The sequence below is a fragment of the Homo sapiens genome, chromosome 11 (assembly GCF_000001405.40).
Source record: "Homo sapiens chromosome 11, GRCh38.p14 Primary Assembly".
Classification (NCBI taxonomy): Eukaryota; Metazoa; Chordata; class Mammalia; order Primates; family Hominidae; genus Homo; species Homo sapiens.
In genome coordinates this window covers 38,866,950-38,890,315 of record NC_000011.10, presented here as the reverse complement: position 1 = coordinate 38,890,315, position 23,366 = coordinate 38,866,950, and the positions used below count along the sequence as shown (strand labels likewise).

General features: G+C 32.7%; 1 long non-coding RNA gene across 4 annotated transcripts in view; it reads left to right on the top strand.

Annotated features, from left to right (window-relative positions):
* The first annotated feature begins 3,546 nt into the window (after positions 1-3,546).
* The window catches only part of LOC101928563 (uncharacterized), a 33,969-nt gene continuing 14,149 nt past the window's right edge, over positions 3,547-23,366 (top strand). Inside the window, exons 1-6 of one of the 4 annotated variants that reach the window (XR_001748191.2) lie at positions 3,547-5,185; positions 9,938-10,046; positions 10,956-11,049; positions 14,129-14,266; positions 20,099-20,239; positions 21,160-22,000. This is a non-coding gene — a long non-coding RNA (uncharacterized LOC101928563). The other 3 variants (XR_931208.3, XR_001748189.1, XR_001748190.2) reach the window with 3 other exon arrangements.

Genomic DNA, 23,366 nt, shown 5'->3' with positions numbered 1-23,366 from the left:
CATCTGAGGGCTTTCTTCCCTTTTCCAGAGGCGTGTACCTGGAAGATCATACTTCATCATTTTTGTCTCTTAATGTGGATGCCGAGGATGTTGCTTCTGCCTGAGGCCTACATTCAGTTAATTTTTTGATGTTAACAGGTGTGGACCATCAGGAAATGGCCTCTTTCTGGCGCCACAGCCAGTTTATCACTTTTGGAGAGGCAACGCAATAAATTGTGGAATCCACCACCCAACATTTCTAGTGGGTGGTGAGGGGAGAGCCCTCTCTTGCTCCACTCATGTCTGTCTATCTACCTATAACAGGATAAATAAAATATCACAATTAATTTGACACTTAGGAAAATTTTAAGTCACCATTTTATTTTCAAACAATCGTGATCAATCACAGCTTGAATATTAATTTAATCTAGTATAGCAGGTAACCTGAAGTGTTTTCTTAATGTTTTACCCTCTCAATCTTTCTTCTTTTACACTTAGTAATATCCAAACTAACATACTTTTTGAAAAATAGCTGCCCTTTATAGTTCTGTGAAGGCATGGATTACTAAATAATTAGATTTGTCTGAAATATATTGATATAAATTTTACTCCCATCAGATAAAAATAGTTATTTGAATCTCTTTGTTTTATTTATCAGATAATGCCATAAAATTCTGTATATTTATTTCTGAACATATTTAATCATAAACTGAAAAGTAAATAAGCATTGTGAATTTTGTTAATGAAAAGATCTGTAATCATGTGTGGCTGCAACTGCATTGAAGTAGTGGTACAGAGGAGACCTTAGAATGGTGTGATTTATTTAGTTACTTGTTCACTCGTTTTCTTATCTAACAAATATTTATTGAGTATTGCTAGAGGACAGGTGACTCTGGAAGTAAAATAGTTAACCAGATAGATACATTGTCTGTTTTTAGGGAACATCTATTTATGGAAGAAGACAGATAATAAGCAAATACATAAATATGATAATTTTAAATAATGAGAAGTCCTAGGAACAATATATAACAGTGTAATGTGATAAAGGGTGACTGGAAGTGCTCATGGAAGGCTCATGGAAGGCAGCTCATATTTCAGCTTAGGTGTAAGTGATAAGAATTCAGACCTATGAGGCTCTGTGGGAAGAACAGTTCAGAGAGGGGAAGAGCAAGTGCCAAGGTCTCAAAGCAGAGATGAACTTGACATATTTAAGACCTGGCAGCTTAAGCATAGTATTGTGGGGAGAGTAGTAAGGAATGAGACAGGAGCTTCATCGTGTAGGATCATATTATGTGTAGTAACAAATGTGTATTTTAATCTATGTGTAATGATAATTTATTGAAGAGTTTTAAGTAGAACAATATTGCTTGATTCACATTTATAAAAAAAACTATGTTGGCTTTTAGAATAACTGAATTTTATGGCTGTATTATGATTCTCTTACAATTACAAAATGGTTAAAAATATATATGCCTACCTTGACAAACCTTTCTGACCCCAAATGGTTTTATTAAAACTAAAAATTCTATTTCTCCTAAATAGGAGGAATATATGTCCCGAATTCATTTCCTCTCTCCTCTCTAGGATTTCCAAACTTAGCCTGGTAAACTTTTGTACTAGGTAAAACTGGTCACTTCTTTTTTGATATTGTTCAATAAGGCAATGTTTTATGTAGGAGGTAATGCTTTCAGAAATATACAATAATATAAAGTAATGTATTGGTAAAGAATATTAACAATTTTTAAAGCATTATCTTTAACTACTTATGACATCAAGACATCAAGTCAGAATCAGTGAAAGGAAAACATCAAATTATTACTGCTACGCCCACAAAATTTGCAGTGTGTTAGAAAAAATTAGTCTGTTTTTTGAATAAGTTATCACATATTGGAAGTGTGCAAGTAGAACCTACACAAATTGCATTGACATTGAGAGTGTTAAGACATCACCTTTTTGCGCAGTGGATGGAGAGGCAAGAAGTGGCGGGCCATAAGAAACTATGTGAAGAAACATCGAAAGTAAAATATGACACAAATGATCAAAGAGCGCAAACATTTTAGCTAGTTTGGATAGAATATCTAATAAACATATGTCAATATATCATGAAAACAACATATTTGGAATTAATGTAAGTTTTGGTTGTTTTAAATCAATTGTCAGTAATTATAAAAGTTACTTTATCTCTCAAACTTTCTTATTAAACTTAGCAGCTGGCCATGAAAAATCCCAGGCATAAAGTTATATAATTTTTTAATTTATAACTTGTTATAGAGTAAGTGTACTCCTTTCCAAGTAATTCTTTAGGCAGCAGTCAAACCAGAGTGAGCATTTCAAAATGCATATCTTATCAGCAAAGTCTTAAATATTTTGATCTCTTCTCCTTATACTTAACACAAGGAGGATCTGGCTCTACTTGGTATATAGTCCAACTAACTTTGGTAGCCATGTCTTGAACCATTCTTCCTTAATTTTCTGTAAGTCAGACAAAATGGATTTAAATTAGTTTTTCTTGAATGCTGTTACTGGGATATATTTTCTCCTCTCTTTTTCTTTTTAACTCCTATGGGTCATTTAATCTCTTGCTTACAGTTATGTTAAAATACACTTTTGGTCAGGCATGGTGGCTCATGGTTACAATCCCAATGACTCAGGATTCAGAGATGAGAGGATCACTGAAGGCCAGGAGTTCAAAACCAGCCTGGGCAACATACTGAGACCCTGTCTCTACGAAAAAAAAAAAAAAAAAATAGGCCAGGTGGTGGCTCACACCTGTAATCCCAGCACTTTGGGAGGACGAGGCAGGCAGATCACCTGAGGTCAGGAGTTAGAGACCAGCCTGGCAAACATGGTGAAACCCCATCTCTACTAAAAATAAAAAAATTAGCCAGGCATGGTGGCGGGTGCCTGTAATCCCAGCTACTCAGGAGGCTGAGGCAGGAAAATCACTTGAACCAGAGAGGCAGAGGTTGCAATGAGCCAAGATCGCACCACTGCACTCTAGCCTGGGCAACAACAGAGTGAGGCTCTGTCAAAAAAAAAAAAAAAAAAAATTAGCTAGTTACAGTTGTGCATGCTTGTAGTCCCAGCTACTGGGGAGGGTGAAGTGGGAGGATAGCTTGAGCCCAGGAGCTTCAGGCTGCAGTCAGCAGTGATCACGCCAGTACACTTCGGACTGGGCAACAAAGTGAGAACCTGTCTCAAAAGAAACAAAACAACATCCACTTTAATAAGCTGCATGGCATCAAGTCACGTTCGTACATACCACCTATCATAGTGTCTATTTTCCAGTTATTTTTATGGAATTAATATCTATGTATTCCACTAAATTGAGGATCTATGAAGGTAATAGCCATCCCCTTATTTGCTCTATGTGGTATTCCAGCACTGAGTTGTGCCTAGTGTGTACTGAATGAATGAATCATTGGGTATAAAAATTAATGATGACAATGAAAAGAATGGATACGAAGTTTCTTTATGATAGTAACTTCTCTGATTTACCAATTCTCTACAATTGCCTGATAATCCTAATGGTTTTCTATAGCTTCTCTCCAATAAATAATGTAGACACAAGTAAGAATTCGGAACTGCTGTCAGAAATTACATTATAATAATTATCATCAATATCATTTTCTTTATCACTATTATCATTGTGATCATTGTTGTCAGAATTACAAATACACCTCTGTTCCATAATTTTGCTAAATGGAAATTTAAAATACATACACTTACAGAGTCAAGCATATTTTTCATGTACAAAGAGGATTAATGAAGAGATGATGGGGAAGAAAGTGTAAATCTATAGAATGTATTCATGTTTTGAGGTATAATGTGAAAATTTAGCTTTGAAAGAAAGCAATAAAATTTGCGTTTTGTAATTTATACCTAGTTCGACACCCTCTGGGCCAGGACAAGGAACAGATGCTGTCAATACAAATTGCATCACTTTCAAATTTAACATATTATCATCACAGAATGCTACTTTTTTCAGTCTGAACTTGTATCCTAGGTATATGAAATATTATCTGTTCATAGAACTTTTTCCCAATTTGAATATAAATGTACACCAGACCTGTGATGGATGATTATAGACCTCATTTTCCTTCTCAGAAAAAAATAATTAGTATTTCTCTTTTGCAAAAAGCAGGAACCATTCAAAATTTTACCTAAGATAGGCAAACTTGTGATTTATAATGTATATGTGTTTGTGTATAATATTGAATTACAGTAGATTAAGCAGAGTAGTGTGCATGCATTTTACACAGCATTTAATTGATATTCAAAATATTTCTTAGATGAATGAATGAATGCACTCTGAAAGCATTAGTCTACTTCAGCAGTTTTTGTTAGCAATTAAGAGATTGTTCTCCCTGAAGACATTTATACTTAATGTATATTTTAAAAATAGTATGACACATTTTTTCAAATGAAAAGTGTTGTATGTATGTGTACAATTACTTTTTTTATTAGCTTCCTAAATATGATTCTGCCCAATATTTAATTGCTTCAGTCTTGTATTCAAAACATGAATGAAACATTCTAATTTGACATCCAGGTTTTCAAAATAACTAATAGGAAACTTGAAGTAAAGCAACACCTCTCTAAGCTTTGAATCATTTTCTACCAATACTATTTTCTTAAAATTATGTATTTTAAAAAATTAATGGACAGGTAAACATGGAGCTAAAATGTTCCCTTTGGATTTGCAGGCAATTATTTCGACTTGCATCATGAGAAAATAAAACACCTTCACACATGAAAATGATTAAGTTTGAAACAATTGAAATTTATGAAGTATACATTAAAAATAAATGTTCTCGTTCCTCAGAGAACAAAACATTTTGTTGGTTCCTGGAGTTTCTCTTTCTAAATTAAGGTTGCTACCATTTAACTGTCTCATTTATTCACTTACATATGGGATTCTTTGAGAAATCTAAGATTCACTGATGTCTTAACAAATACAGGTGGGTACATTATGGATGAGCGCACATGTTGAAATCTAATATAGTTTCACTTGGAACTTATATTAGATTCATTTAGTTTTGGATACCAAAAAATAAATCTTTTAATTCATGTCTCTTCATTTCCCCCATATATTTGCCCCTTCTATATATGACTGACATAGAAGATGAAGCTGAAAATTTACAATTTCAAGATATTCTTAGAAGATATCTGGTCTACTTTTTTGAGCTGTTAACATTTTTCTGAGGTTTGTAAAATACTTATAATTTATAAAACTTTGTTAACTTGGTAAGTGAAAATTAAAGCCAGACTTTGACTTTCACTAGAAATAGCTGTCTTTCATTATGTGCAATAGTCTAGATCAATCTTTATAAACATTAGAGGTGAGATTTAAATCTAATTTCCCAAATTATTTCCATTTATCATGCTGCTGCTATGCATGCAATGCGAATGAATGCAGTTGGTTATCAAGGCCAAGAACTTTCCTAACATGAAGACAGTATCAGAATGAATTTACCATTGATAATTTGTTTTGGTCACTCATAAATTAAAGCTTCTTCCATAATTTTGGAAATTTTTAGGCCTATGAAACAGAGTCCCACTCATGCTAGCTGTAAAGCTGAATATTTTTCTTACAAGCTCCACTTGCACTTTAAATATATAAACACAACTTTGATTCAACCAGTCAGATGCACCCAGTCCAGACTTGTAAGCCAGAGATACATACAAGCAGAAAAAATGTGCATAACATTCTGGCAATGATGAGAGAGTCAGTAGTAATTACATTTATTTTTTCAGAGGCAGTGACATAAGCGCATATTGAAAAGTGTCTCCTGACATTGATAGAAAATGTAGAAAAGGAAGCAAACAAAACGAACAAAACAACTATGACAAAAATCAATACTAGGAGAAACAAAATATTGTATAAAAATGAAATCATGTTTATTGTTCATTATATGGTATGGTTGTGAACAATAATTATGTAGTCCTCAAAAATGCATTCACCAAAAATAAGGGTTTAAATAACAATTGTGATGTCATCATATTACAAGGATGAGGAAAGGAAATGTTTATGAAAGGAAAGAATGGGCCAGGAACGGTGGCTTACGCCTGTAATCCCAGCACTTTGGGAGGCCAAGGCAGGCGGATCACCTGAGGTGGGGAGTTCAAGACCAGCCTGACCAACATGGAGAAACCCTGTCTCTACTAAAAATACAAAATTAGCCAGGCGGGGTGACATATGCCTGTAATCCCAGCTATTCGGGAGTCTGAGGCAGGAGAACTGCTTGAACCGGGAGGCAGAGGTTGCAGTGAGCCGAGATTGAGCCATTGCACTCCAGCCTGGGCAACAAAGGAAAGAATGTAAGAAAGATAGAGCTGTATTTTATCTTCCAAATTTAGAAGTCAATATATGGACTAGTCATGGTTCTCCAGATAAACAGAATGATAGATATGTTTTAAGGTTGGGTTTACTGATTTTGGAGGCTTGGCAAGTCCAAAATCTGCAGGTTAGGCCATCAGGCTGGAGACGTAGGGAAGAACTGCAATTCGAGTCCAAAGGCAATTCTTCTTGCTTGGGTGGCTCAGTCTTTTTCTTTGTACAAAGGCCTTCAACTGACTGAATGAAGCCCTCCCGTAACAGGAAAGGTAATGTGCTTCATTGAAAGCCTACGGATTTAAATGCTAAACTCATTTAACACATACCTGCCGAGAAACATTTAGAATAATGTTTAACCAAATAGTTTGGTACCTTATTCTAACCAAGTTGATACATAAAATTAGCCATCATGATATATAATATCTAAACCTCAAAAATTAAAGAAATAGTGTGAGGAAATGGTGTTGGGGATGAGAAATGGTGGTATATAGGGTTGTGCTGTTTCCATTATAAGTCTGATAATTTTTACTGTTTAATGATTTAAATTATGTACAAAGGTTACTTGGATAAAAAATTTATAAGGTTACATTTTAGTAAAATATAAAAACTCATATGGTCATTCTGAATATTTCAGATGTATATTTTTGTCTTGTCTTTCATTTCCTCCTAGGGCAATTAAGTAACAATGAAATTGAAATTATCAAATAATTCATCTATTTAGGAAAAATGGAAACTAGTAAAAATGTGGCATCCACACATTTACAGAAAGTCTTGGCTAATGAAAGCATCGATAAATAGTTCTAGGATTGTAAAAATGAATATATATTTCTAATTTTCTATTTTAATTAACAAATAATGCAGAAATATATGTGGTATGATGTGATATTTTAATATATGTTTATATTGTGGAATGATCAAATCAAGCTGATTAGGAGATCTATCACCTACCTACTTATCACTTTTTTTTATGGTGAGAACATTTAAAATCTACTCTTTTCGCAATTTAAAAAGTACAATACATTATAATTAACTATAGTTCTCATGCTGTGCAACATATCTCTAAAATTTACACATCTTATCTAACTGAAACTTCATACTCTTTGGACATTTCCCCATTCAATAATAATTTTTGACTCGCCACCAAAGCTACATTCCAAATCTCCCCTGATTATTATAACCACCACAATTTTTTTTCCTCAATTAGAGATGATGAAGTCTTGACTTTGTCCCCTGGACATGTCTAATTTTAAGAGTTTTGGGTTTTGACAACATTATGATGTAGTATTTGAATGTATCACGTAGAATGAAATTTATTTATTTTGCCTAATAGTCTAATATTTTTATAGCACTATTCAAAGACGTTTATGTAAAAGTTAAAATAGGGATTCATTAGATAGCTAAATAATAGATAAAAAGAACATCGATAGATAGACAGAATTTTATTCGAGAGCCTTAACTACCTTCTCTAAAATCCTCTCTACTACATAATTTCTATATTAGTTCCAAAATGATTTATTAAAAATCCATATCAGTTTCTCGTAGTCCTGTCATTTGCCTGAAATTGCCCTTAATTTACCTTACTTTACATCATCTTCCTCAGTGAATAAGGATTCCTTCAAGTCTCATTTCTTCCTCTTTTCTCAATATTCTTTAAAACGTAAGTCACTACTTCCTTTGATGAATAAGTTTATTTCAGGAAATGAATATATTTCCCATTATTAATTTTGGCTCTGTGTTTGGAAAATAAATGTTCCTAGCTTTGTGTGTTATTTATTGCACCATTTTGTAAATTGCATGTGAATTTTAAAATTTACTTTATACAAAGTAACTACTTCATAACAAAATATTGATTGTTAATCAGGGAGTAGTTTTTAATCATTATCTATTTTGAGACACGTGTATTTAAGTCACATATAGTCATTTTTCTACATGTTTTTCAGTTACTTTTTTATATCAGTTTGGGATTTTTTAAGTTGATGTATAATATATAATAATAATTTTTTCATTTAAGATAAAAAATGCCCCAGGTTAGCAATTTTGCACCGAATTATTGATTTATTGTAATAAATTTACATAAAATTTAAATGTACTTTCTACAAGTCAGCAACAGCTTCTTTTACAATGTGATATTCAGTCTGATAGCCATAAAAGTCTACGGCATCTGGAAGTAAAGTTAACATAAAACATGCAAGATCTTTATAGAGAAAATTATGTAAAACATTTTAATGATAAAAATGAGAAGCTGAACAAGTTAGATACATGTTCATAAATAGGAAAACTAATACAATAAAATGTATTTTCCCAAATATACCTTTAAACTCAGTGTATCTCAATCCATCTTCAAAATAATTTTTTTTTTCTGAGACATGACAATGTAACTCTAACATATCATGGAAACATAAAAGGTCTAGGAAATAAAAATAGCTTTGAAATAAGATTGCTGTACTTATTTTGTAAAATCGTATTGATTTATTTTAAATCTATAATAATTAAGCCAACATAATAGTGGTGTGAAAATAGAAAAATAGACCATATGGATGGAAAGTTCAGGAACAAACCCACCATATTGAAATCAGATATATAACAGAGTAGTAGTATTACAAATTCACAGTTACAGTTGAACTATTGAACAAATGGCACTCTAAGAAACAGGCTTATATATTATATATTTATATATGTGTGTGTATTTACTATATACTATATGTATATACTGTGTGTGTGTGTGTATATATATATATATCACAATCCACATATAAAAGAATAATCTAGGGAATTATATGCCTAAAAAAAGGTAAATATACTTTAAAATGTATAGATACATATATATATATCTTTTTTTTAAAGAACATGTAGTGGAGATGTATATACAGGAGCAAGAACTATTAAAAACACTATTACATTAAAGTTAGAAATCATCTTTCTAACTTTCATAAATTTCATAAATATACATAAGGCATATAAATATATAATAAAAAGATAAACAACTCCCCTAAAAAGGACAAAGAATGTGATTATGTATTCTCAAAAAAAGTAAACCAAGTAGAGAATAAATTTTTTTAAAAAATGTTTAACCACACTAGTAATCACAGGGGGAATATTAAAAACAAATGGAATATTACTTCACATCTATTATTTCAGAACAAATTAAAAGTCTGGAAACATAAAATGTTGACAAGGAAGTAAATTAATAAATCTCACATTTTAGGTATGCTTGCCAGGTACTGCTATGAATGCTGTTCATGTATCATTTTATTAAATTCTTTCAAAATATTATGATCTTGTACTATTATTTTACACATGATAGAAGTAAGGTAAAGGAAGCAATAATAACCTCCAGGTCAAACAGCTGATTAAGTCTTAGAGGCTTAATAAAGTCTAGGCCATCTCACTCCAGCATCCATCTGCTCAACCATTATGCTGTTCTGGCTGTTTTACAGAAATCACACCCAAAAAGCTCCATTCACATTTAATTGGCCATTCTTAACTAAAGAACAGACTAAGAAATGTGGTCTCTGAATGGGCACACTTCCACAAGGATTAAAAGTTAGAGTGTTATACCGAAAGATGGAGGATGGTTATTAGATAGCTAATGTGTATATCCTATGTCTCTTCCACTTGTAGGTATAGAACCTTGGGGAAACTTCCACAGCATAGAAGACAGGAAAACATGCACATCATATTGTTTGCACTAAGAAGTAAATTGGGACTAGTCAGCATGCATCAATAGGATGTATGTATTATTATTGTTGTATAGTCATGGTTAAAAAAATGAGTGAAGCAGACATACGTATATCATCAGGGGAATCATAAATTAATAATATTGAGAAACAAAATAAAAATTCACAATAATATATTCAATTTGTTATAACTTATTTAAAGTTTATGAACATACCAAACACGGCAGGTGCATATGCCTTAAAATTGGAAAAGTCTGCATAACAGTTATACATATCAATGACAGGGTGCAAGAAATGATGGGAAAATGAACATTCTAAGCAAGAATTTAACAATATTTTTCATGTTTTATTTCTTTAAAATGATGGCAACACCTATGTCAAACTCTTAGATTGAGTTAGATTTGAGTAGGATGTTCATAAAATGTTTATGTTAATCACTTTAATTTTATATATTTAAAAAAATTGATGAGAAAGTATAATCCAGTCCATCAAAAAATGAAAATAATAATAACATGCAGGGTGAACATTTTGATTCAGTTTGGTTGCTCACAACTGAGCTCCAGTTTACATTTGTGAAGTTCCTCTTCACATGAATCCTACTGAAGGGCAAAGACCATCGCTCTTTAGGTCCACTGAAAACTCTACTCTCTTCTTTCCAGTTTCCCTACAGCTAGGGCAAAATTATGAGGCCTATGATAGACTTTGACTCTGGGGATGATGATTCAAGAGAAAGAAAGGGTTAGAAGCTGTCTTTTCCTTATTGCGAGGATAGTAACACAACTGGAAAGTCGCATCCTGAAGCAGAAGTAGAGACAGAACCAAGCTCCAGCCTGCTGGCAGGAGCAGCTGTTTCCTCTCTAGGCTAGTTGTGAACTGTAGTTTGAGCCTAATTGTCAAGCCATCTAACACATTTTCAAAACAACCCAGTATCTATTTAATCTTTTTTTCTGTTTACATATCAGAGTTAACTTTTCTTGGGAAGAAATGAAGTGGAAATATGGTTGCTGCCTAAGAAGTAATAATAGGAGATACAGGAAGCAGTTTGAAATGGAATAGGTATGTAAAACACTAATGGAGCAGAAATACAGTCGAAAATAACATGCAAAAACAAACATAGTAAGCAACTATAGAGAATGCATTTTGGAGCTCATATATGGACTTTTACAGGTGTAGTATATAATGAAGCAAAGCCAGGATTTTGAAACATATGAGGGGACTTTAAAAAGTTCATGGAAAAATGGAACTAAAAGATAAAAGTAAAAAAAATACAAACTATTTCTCAACATAAGGTCCTTCAAGATCAATACACTTTTGCAAACGATGACAACAGCCATTTATTTAACTGATAAAGAGCTAAAAGTCCTGGGAATTCAACCATGTCCTGCAGTCTTCTTTACATTATTAACTGAAGAAAAGTGGGTGCCCTTTACAGATTTTTTTAAGATTAGGGAACAAAAAGAAGTCAGCAAGAGCCAATTCAGGATGGTAAGGTGTATGCTTACCACTTTATCATTAAAACTCTCATAAAATTGCTCTTGTTTGATGATAGGAATGAGCAGAATCATCATCCTCAAGGAGAAGGACTCTCTGATGAAGCTTTTCCAGGCATCATTTTCTCAAAATGAGTTATCTGTTTGTAAACTACTGATTTCTTTAGGTGGCAGGGGGTGGAAGGGGGCATTGTCCCATAAACCTTTCTCTCCTGTTTTTACACACGAAGTCACTATTTTATTAATCCTAATTAGGTATTTTTAATTTTGGGTATCCATCACATGAAGCATTTATCATTTCTTTTTGAATAGAACATTTCAAAGCATCAGTAATTTCACCATTCTTTCACCCAAGCTTCACCATAAATTTGATGTTTGTTCCTGCTTCAATTTTAGCAGAATGTATGTTACTCTGATAGGGGCTGTTTTCAAACTGATGTCTTAACCTTCTTAGAACCACAAACTAGATATTTTTCAGACATGATATAACTTAGTATGAGTTTGTTTTGGTTCAAAAAGGTTTTGAAATCCATGCAGTTTTTTTCGTAATATTTTCATAACCTTTTTCATTAATTTTTTGAAGACCCCTTATATAGTCTTCAAATCTTTCTAAAGTCAAGAGGAGACACACACACTTTACACACATAGCCAATACAGTATTGTAAACACTATAGCTCTTATTCATGAATGGCATAATTACAAATTAAAATCTGTATAGGATTTACACAAATATTTTCAAGTGCACTATTTATTCCCTCCACATTCAAGAGAATATTCCAATGCATAGTGGAGTGTGTGTGTGTGTGTGCATTTTCTCTATTGCCTCACAATGCATCATGTTATTGTCACTATTTGACCAAGATCCTGTTTAGTTCTAGATTGATTTTAAACAGCTAAAAATGTTTGCAAAAATAATTGCAATTTCTTGCTTCGTGTCCACATACATTCTGTAAAATTTTCACTTGATTAAGGCAGCCCTCTTTATAAGAGTTTCTATTAGTCTTAGAGTAATTGAAAGCATTTTGTGTTTGTCATATCTTTTTATGTGTTTGTAATTTTTTAATTTCCAGTTATTATTAGTTGAGAAAATAAATGATTAAAAAACTATGAAAAATCTTCTACTTGCATGATTTTGGGTGAGATATTAAATCTATCTGAATTTCAGATTTATGAACTCTAAAGGGTTGATGAGAGTAACTAAAATGTTTCTCCTAACATTAACATTCTGATTCTAAGTTTACAGACTGATTTTTTGTGGGGGCAAGATGGTACTGAAAGAAACGTTTTCTATCACTTTAAACCTAATGAAATTTCCCATTTCCGAGATTTAAGAGAATCATTCAAGAAGAAATACAAAGTCATAAAATTAGGGACATTCTACAATTTATTATGGAATAACTTGACAACCCAGAATTGACATTTTGTAACTGTTACTCTCTCCAGATATTATTTTTTCTCGTAAATATGCTTAGGAAATATTTTGTGAATATACTTTAAAAAGACATATGGAGAGAATTACTCATTTGTGTGCTATTCTACATGTGGATATTTTGTTGGCAACTCAGGCTTAATTTAATTCTACTAGTTGTCTACTTTACAGAAATGTAAAATAACATCTTTACCAGGAAGTTTCAATCAAAAGCTCTATTTAGTCTTTTGTAATATAAAAATATTACATTCAATACTGACAGAAACTGTACAATCATATTATAGTCTACTTTCCCATCTGTTACTGGATATAAACTGAGTTAAAGTTTCTGTTGTATGAGAAGAGTAAGCTAAGTTTTATTAAGCACCTGCAATTTTCCAGGGACTATTTCCAGGGACTATTATTTTATTTTTCCTCTTTGACATATCTATGTGGTGCAAATTATGACTATTTTAAAGATGAGGAAACTGAGGTTCTGAGTGAAGCATCAAGTGGAGTTTGAAATAGATTTGCAAGGTGACTTATACACTGTTATTTAATCTTAATAACAATCCTTTTTAGTTAGAGATCACTCTTTTCCTGTTAGATATTGAAATACTGATATTTATAGAGGTTAAGTAATTTGCCTTACCAGACTTGCAAATGGCAGAACAGCAGAAAGCTAATTCTGTTTATAGCTAAAGACTTGCCCATTTTTAGTCTACTATGATTTAGAATTATTAACTTATTTCCTTCCTTCATGCGTATCTATTTTTTATAAGACTGGCGAATAGGAGAGGCGAGCTTGCTCCATTACAGACATGTGTGTTCATATGTATGTGTACATGTGTTTATTTAAGTGTTAAAATAATTGGAGGAATTTCACTGTATGAGGTATAAGTATCCTGCAATGAAAGACCATAAACTATATACAGGGAAAGTATTCATGCTCGTACAAAACAGAGAGTGTGACAATGTCACAAATGAGAAACTTAGAAAATATATGATTTACCATAATTCTGCACAAACTCTATGACTATCAGAATCTATAGACTGTCAGAACCTAAGTATTTAGATTGATTCATTCTAGATACACATCTAAGGTAGCAGAGACTAACTAGTCAATATTCTTCACCGAATCAGAGAGTATTTAAACTCTTCTCTAAACAGCTAAAAAGGATCAAGAATGAGAAGCATGTTTAACATCAGCTTAGCAGCCGTATACTATTTGTTACAGAAACAACTTGTGATAGAGGACAGAAGCCATATCAGAAGTCACGGAATTAATTATGTGAGTCTGGGATCAGTGAGAGATGAAAATTGAGAAGAAAGAAAACTGTAAGACTCTGTGACTTGAAAAATCCAGGAGAGACAGGTAAAGAACAGAAGCCAATATCACACCCTAGGAGATTCAGAATTAAGCATGCCGAATTCACGCTTCACAGTGAGAAGGGTGGTAGATCAGAAATTAAGATCAGATTGTTGATTTTCCTAAGTACTGGAGAAGTTGAGTTATATAAAAAAGCTAAGAGTCATTAAGGTGTGTCATCTTTAAAGAGAAATTTTCAGAATTTATTGAAGCTAGTTTATTTTTTAAATTTTATATATATATATTTACTAGTTTTCATTCAGTAATTTCAAAATTGCCAGAGGAGAAAATCATGGCAGTGGGCATATGATCATCTCAGAGAAAAAGAAACACATTAATGGTCTCTTCTTTCTTCTGGAGCTATATAATAGGAAGCAAGTATTTTCCAGGAAATGGAGGTGACATACGTGTAGATAGATTCCTTTCCTGGTACCTTACAGATAGAGCTAACTAGAGTTTAAAACCCATATGCATAGGCTGAGTAATCCAGCCTGCAAGTGTGAGTGGGCATACTCTTGTAAGAATTATTATAAAACCATACAAATTAAATCCTTTAAGAAAGCATATTATTTTCAATTTTTTTAGCCCCTTATTATCTATCTTTGTCTCTATATCTATCAGTCTCTCTCTATATAAACAGAGATTGAAAATTGAATGACTCAGTTTTCCTGTAGAGCAATATAAATACAGTCACACGTTTCTTAACAATTGAGATATATTCTGGGAAATGCATCATTAGGCAATTTTATGGTTATGCAAATGTCATTGGTTGTGCAAACCAACTTAGATGGTAGAGCTTACTAAAAATGCAGGTTATACGGTATAGCCTATTACTCTTAGGCTACAAATCTGTGCAGCATATTACTGTACTTACTATTGTATACAATTATAACACAATTGTATTAGTGTATCTAAATATATCTAAATACAGAAAAGGTACAGTAAAAATATGGTATTATAATCTTATTTGACCACTGATGTATATGCAGTCCATGACTGACCAAAACATTGTTACGCATGGCATGACTATATTTGGGTAAGCAATATCTAGTGTGGACTATAAAACATTACCTTCAATAGAATTACAGAAAGCCCAAGAACTTAGCGAGTCAATATCAGGAAATCAATAATTCATTGATGAAATAAAAGTCAAACATTAAAATTCCAGAAGAATTGAATGCTGGATGAAAATTAGGTTCTATTTTCAATATTTTTTACTTAAAGAGGCTACACGTGAATATTATTATACTGTAATTGAATCAAATTTATAGAGAGAGTTTAAACATTTTTGGACTAAGCTTTCTTCTGTAACAATGAATACACACATTTTATGTATACACAACCATATATGGTTGGCTATAATCATTGAAATTTAAATGTCTTAATTTAAATGCATTTCTCTTGTCAAAAAAATCTTGGAAAGAAATCTGTTGTCTAAGCAATCATTCATAAAGTTTTGTGTGAACATTTTAGTTGAGATATTCTGATGTATTCGGAGATACACATGATATAAGCCAAGTCTGTTAAAACTGAAATAAATAAATAAATGTGTGTATGTGTATATATGAAAATAACACACATATGTACATTTAAGTATACACACACACATATATATTCTCATATATATAATTTCAGAAATTGCATAGATTTCAAAGTGAGAGTCTATTATACAATGACATGTTTTACAAAGTGAGGTTATTTTGAAAATAAATGATGCTGGGAAATGTAAGAGAATTTTAAAAGTGGGCAAAGAGCACAAATAGACATTTTTAAAAGATATACAAATGGAAAAGCATATGATCTGTATCTACCCAAAGGAAAATACATTATGTAAAAAGAGATCTTCACTCATATGTTTATCACAGCATTATTCACAATAGCGACGATATGGGATCACTCTAAGTATACATCAATGAATGATTGAATAAAGAAAATGTAATATATATATCACATTTCTATATACATTTCATATACACTTCACATATCCATACATTTCTCAAGTTACAGATATTTTGTTATATTATTATCCCAAAGTTTTTAACCATTTATATTTTCATCAATAGGATATAACAGCACCCATGTCCCAATCCATATTATTTCTAAAAGCGAATAAGACTGTGTAAAAAAGAATAGCTTTGACTATCTTATTAAAAAAAAACTATCCTAGGGATTTGATTGACATTTTCTTGATTATTGGTGATGCTGGAAGTGCTTTCATTTTCTTGTTTTTCATATATTTTCTTTTATAATGCACTGATTTATGTTTGCCTGTTTACCTATTGAAGTTTTCAGCTCATTTTTAATAAAAGAGCTATATATATACACACACACACATACGTGCATACATATATATGTATGTATGTATACATATGTATGTATAGATAGGTCTTTTATAGTATGTCTGTGTATAGATGTATACATATGTATACCTGTATCTATGTATCTATGTATAGATGTATGTATGCATCTATATACATAGACATATACATAGACATTCTATATATATATACACATAGACATCCGTATGTATATATGTATACATACATATACATACGTATACATATATATACATATATATACATACATATACATATATATACATATATACATACATATACATACATATACATATATACAGATGTACACATGTATACATACGTATACATGTATACAGATGTATACATAGACATACTATAAAAGAGCTACATATACACATATATACATATATAGCTCTTTTACATATAAATATATATAGCTATATATGTATATAGCTCTTTTACTTAAAAAAAGAGCTGAAAACTTCAACAGGTAAACAAGCAAACATAAATCAATGCATTGTAAAAGGTAATATACAAAAACCAAAGAAGCCATATATGTATATATGTATATATGTGTATATGTATATATAGATACATATACACATACACAGCTATTTTAGTAAAAGCTGTATATACATATATACTGCTCTTTTATATTTATACATATGTACAGCTCTTTTACAAAAGAGCTATATATGTATGCATACAGAATATATATATACATTTTATATATATATATATACACTATATACACACACACACAAAACGTAATAGTATTCAGCCATTTAAAAAAAAGAATAAAATGTTATGATCTGTAGCAACATGGATAGAACTGGATACAGTTATCTTTAACAAAAACACTCAGAAATAAAGTTAATACCTCATGCTCTCACTTATAAGTAGAAGCTACATAATGTGTGCCCATGGACATAGAGTGTGTAGTAATAGATCCTGGAGACTCAGAAAGAGGGTAGGGTGGGAGGGAGGTGAGGTATGACAAATGACTTAATAGGTACATTGTTTGGGTGATGGTTACACTAAAAGCCCAGGCTTCATCACTACGTAATATATCCATAACAAAACTGTACTTGTACTCCTTAAATTTATATTTTAAAAAACATAGGCAACCTTAAAAGCTATCTCTTTTGGAATTTATGAAACACAGTACCTGTATCACTTTCTCTCAAACAAGCGATACAACATGTTATACACCATGCTAATTGTGACTGTTGAATATCTGGCAGTGTTTCTAAGGACTCATTGCTTTTTAACAACAACCACAGAAATAATTAATTTGCCACGTTAACAAAAGGGAGAAAGTGAAAGAACAGGTAGATTTGGTAGGTGCCATTTGAAAATTTAGGTCCATTTTGTATTTAAAATAATTGAGGTTCAGATAGTAAAATAAATGTTGGCCTAACTGCCAATTAGTGACAAGCATTTTTAACGCCAGCCCTGCCTGACATGAATTGCTACATTTTATTTTCCCGGTTTTTATATTATCTTCCACTTTTAGGCCTAACATGACATAGACTTTTTTAAAGTTTTATTTCAAAATGGTAACTATTCTTTCCGGAACAAAAGTAAAATAACCAATTCCAATAGAAACTAAACAAATATTATCAGCATGTCTATGATTTCTATACATTTTCAAATATGAAGTTTCTATGTATACATTTATTTAATTTTACTAAATTGGAATTTTTCTATATGTACCAATTTATAACATACTTCCTCCCTTTTGTGAGCATTTTTACATACCAATAATATTTTCACACAATTATTATTTTGATGGATTCATAAAATGATTAATTTACAGTCATGTCTCACATTATCACATTTTGGTCTTCTTACACAACAGTGGTCTCGTAACATTACAATGGAGCTGAAAAATTCTTAATGCCTAAATATATCATAACCATTCAGTTACAACTGCCTACATTATTCAGTACAGTAATATGTTGTACAAGTTTTTAGGAGCATTGGACTACATACACCATATAGCCTAGATTTGTATTGTAGACTATACCATCTAGGTTTTTGTAAGTACTACTGTGTACTCACAATGAAATCGTCTAGCTCATTTCACAGAACATATCTCTGTCATTAAGCAAAGCAAATGTTATATATTATTGGATATTTGTACAATAATATATAATATGTATTCTTGGATATATTTATATATTATTTAATATATTATTGGATTTCTATATTATTGGATATTTCTATATTGTCCTGTTCCTGTTGCCTCCTCAGAATATTTTACATTAATTACTGACTTTTCTATGAAACAGCTCATAACTTGTAGTTGTGAATATTATTGTTTTAAAGTAGAAACATGTTTGAGAAATACTTCTGTGATATTGTACAATTAGCAACTTTAAAAATCTCTTTTCATTTGATGCTGATGCACTAAAATATTCATCTTGATCAAAAGTTCACTATATTGAAATATCTATTGTGATATTTAGGGGAAGAATTTAATCTAATATCACCTTAATCGTTATACATGCTTTAGCAACATTTTGTAAATCAGACCACTAATAACTTACATTCTTGTCTGTTTTGGAAATTGCTTCTCTTTGCTTTTGACCAAACTTGTCTGAAAACATGCTTTCATTTTTAATGCTAACTACTTCTAGTGTTTGTCTTTTTAGGTCTTTGCAAGGAAGAAAAAAAAAGGAAGATATGTTTTTGATTTATAAATTCATTGAGTTTATTTTTCTTTTCTTTTTTCTCTACCCCAGCCATTTCCTTCTCCTGTCCCTCTTCCCTTCCACTTCATCCTCCTCCTCTTTCTTCCTCTCTCTTATTTTTTTATTTATGGGAAAATATAGTGTAGTAATTGATAGCATAGCCACTAGTGTCAGCCCGCCTGGTGTTGGATCTTACATTTTCTGTGTCTGCCTGTGTAAATTTTTGCGTCAATATAATTACTATTTTTAAACCTATAAATCAGGATAGTAATAGTATTTGCTTCAGAAAGGACCCAAGATTACATGTTCACTGAGTTTAAAAGAGCTCTGTCTGCCAGTATGTGCACAGCATGCATTACATTTTATTAATATTAAAGCAATTAACATTAGATTTATTTTGTTTTTGTTTTTATAACTTGGATTTCCTCTCCCATTTCAGAAAGGTCCAAGACTGATTATTTAATGATTTTTGTACACAATAAAAATACACAAGAATATTTTGATATCAAGGTTACTTAACATAAATGATATAAAAATAAGATAAATATAATAGTATGTGAACATAAAACCAGCCTTGACCACTGAGAATACTAGCTAACAAATATTCTATTATTATTTTTATTATATTTTATTATGACAAAACAAATTCCTATTGAATATATAAATATAAAAAGTTAAACATAAAAGAGCTAGAAAATATAGAAAGAGAAATATCTTTTAGGACATATAGTGAGAACACACACACATATATTATATCTCAGAATTTGAAATATTACTTAAAAACAACTGGTAAAACAATGTTTCTGTTTTACCATTGCCTTTAGGCAACTGAATTGCTACATTGTATTTTCTCTTAAACCCAAGAAAATTCCCTGTGTTAGAACAACTTGAATGAAAAGAAGAATAAACAGGTGTCCAACAATAACATTTCCAAGATAGGAAGAAAGCGAGGGTTCAAAACGGAGGTAAGTAAATGAAATGTTGGTATACTTTATGCTCAGGATAACAACTTGTTGGGTTTATTCTATTTTTTGCATTTGCTTCTTATTTATCATTTTAATTTACAAAACTCTTGTGGTACCAAGTCTGCTTTCCAAGGCATACACACACTGGTGAAATGGAATGACCGGTTTATGTAACTTCCTTTCCATTCTATGATGTAAGTACCACACAAATGTTTTCCCAGGGTGTTGAAAAAGTGTAAGTAATTTTCTGAAGATTTGCACTTTGCTTCATCATAGGTAGTGAAAAATACAAAACCTATTTGCAGAAGGATTGAGAATATCTTAGCTTTTTGGATATTTTCTCTTCTGAGACTTGTTTTAAATTCAGGTCAGAAAAGCTAGTGTAATATTGGAATTGAAAAGAGCAACAGTGTTTTGACATTGTATATCTTGGCATAAACCTTGCATCATTCGCAGTATGAGATGTCATGAAACTCAACTCAGCATAACATAAAATCAAATGGGTTAAAGGAGTTCAAATAGCAAACATCCAGGTGTCTTCGCTGTCCAGCATCTAGTAATAGGAGGACATTGAGACAGAATAATATCATACCATTTATTATTCAGCATTTATTGTGTACCCGCTATGTGCCAAGGGCTGTGTCAAGGACATGAAAATTAATAAAAAAAAAACTCTTACTCTTGAAAAGGGAATCATCTGACAACTAGCATTTATTGAAAACTCAAGCATTGAACTCTGCATTTTGCATGTATCTCTGTTTAATCTTTACATTAACTTCGTGAATATAATATTATTATTTTAAAGATGTGGAAAGAAGATGCAAAAATGTTGATTAAATTATCTAAGGTATTTAACCTGCCATTGGCTGATACATATTTCAAACAAGCCTGCCTTAACCACAAAATGTTTATGCTTTTAGTTATATATAATGTGTCTCACCAATCACTGAAGGGGACAAGTCATCCATGTAAGAAATTAACTCAACCCAGGGGAGAGGACATATTCCTGTAATCTCAGCTACTCAGGAACCTGAAGCAGGAGGATAATTTCAGGGAAGGAATTGAGACCAGCATGGGCAACATAGCAAGATGTAAAAAAACAAAACAAAACACAATTTTTTAATGTTAACTAGGTGTGGTGGCATGTTCCTGTAGTCCCAGCTACTCAGGAGCATGAGGCAGGAAGCTTGCTTGAGCCCCAAAGTTCAAGGGTGCAGTGAGCTATGGTTGCACTTCTGCATTCCAGCCTAGGTGACAGAGAAAGATCCCCTCTCAAAAAACTTAATTTATTGTCAAATATACTTTTGCATAACTGTGTGCAAATTATGTAGCTGTAAAAATAAGGCTATGATGTAATTATGCCCTGAAACTGTTTGTTTGTTGCTGTTTTTGGTTTTGTTTTATTTTTGCTTGGTATTGGTGATGTATGGAGTAATGTGTTCACTGGTCTTTGAGGTATAATCATACCTTTGCCAGATGGAGAACAGTTGAGCAGTATATTCCAGGAATAGGGAATATTATGTCTAAAACATTACATAGTCAAGGAATTACAGCAAAGTTTTGTTTATAAAGAGGAGAGGAAAAAAAAAGAATGATACAAGGAATATAAATGGGGCGGGCTCTGTATGTACGCATTTTTAGAATATAAAATGTTTTTCTATAGAAAATAAAGAAACCATGATATGAATATAATATGTGGGGAGCATAAACATGTCTGCAGTTTATTAATATTTATTTTTAATAAACATTTCTTTGAATGCATATTAAGTGTGTGTACTATAATGACTTACATCGATTTACAAAGATGCCAGCCTCCATTTGACAGTAGATCCCAAGGGGCCCAATCTAAGCTCTATCCCCTCTTGTAGTTAGGGAACTACGTTAATTTTTCAGGGACCTGCTGGGGCTCCTTCCCACAGCAGAGCATTTCCACACAGCCACAGTACCATTCTTGGGTTTTCTCCAAGTCCATCTCAGCCAAAAATCCGTGTCAATCATCAAGTAAGTCTTCATGATACAGTACATCTTGGCTTAGAGCATCCTTTAGTGCAGAGATGGCTACAGTGGTTAGAGGATCAGGAAATAAAACAGTTAGTATACTTAGAATTCCTGGTAAACCTTCTGAAGAACAGGTACAAAAAAAAAAAAACCCAGACTGAAAGGTAAGATTAAGATAACAGATAGGAGGCAAGACTAGCTTGCAGCTCCCACTCAGACAGAGCAGGATGTGGAGAGTAACATTGTGAACTTTTGCTCCCAAAACTGCTGCAGGAACATACCAGGAAAGCTGAAAGAATCCACAGACCCTTTGAAGGAACTGGATCTCCACTGCAGGCTGCCCGAAATGCTGAAAAACTGTGTCTGCTTACTTTCTCAGTGGAGAGACTGGTGGTCTGGGGCAATTTCTCAGCCCTGGCCACCGGCTACCTGGAAATAGACTTGGTGCTGTTCCAGGGTAACAACGGGAATGAGATTGGCCTTAAAGACTGCAGGCTGTGTGGGAGTGGGATGAGGCTGAGGGCTTTCCCACACTTCCCTGGTGACCTTATGACTCAGCAGAGGCAGCCATAATCATCCTGGGAACATAACTCCATTGGCCTAGAAACCACACTCCATCCCCTAGAGCAGCTGCAGGGATCCCCACCCAAGGGAAGTCTGAGCTCAGGCACTCCTATCCCTGCCCCCACCTGGTGGTCTTTCTCTACCCACCCTGGTTGCCAAAGACAAAGATCAGAATCTCTTGGAGGCTCTGTGGCCCTACCCACCACCTGAGGCCTCTCAATACTTAACCAGGCAATCATAGGGCAAGTTTGCATCCTTCCTATGAAATCACAGCTGATGTGCTCTTGAAAGTGCCACTTCCTGGCTGGAGGCCAACCAACACAAAACAAGTGCACTAAACAAAAATACAAACCACGACCCTCATAGAGTCCACTTCACTCCCCTGCTGCCTCCACTGGAGTAGGTGCTGGTATCCATGGCTGAAAGACATGAAGATGGATCACATCACAGAACACTTTGCAGACACTCCCCAGTACCAGCCCAGAGCCTGGTAGCTCCTATGGATGGCTGGACCCAAAAGAGCAAAAACAATCATTGCAGTTCAGCTTTCAGGAAGCCCCATACC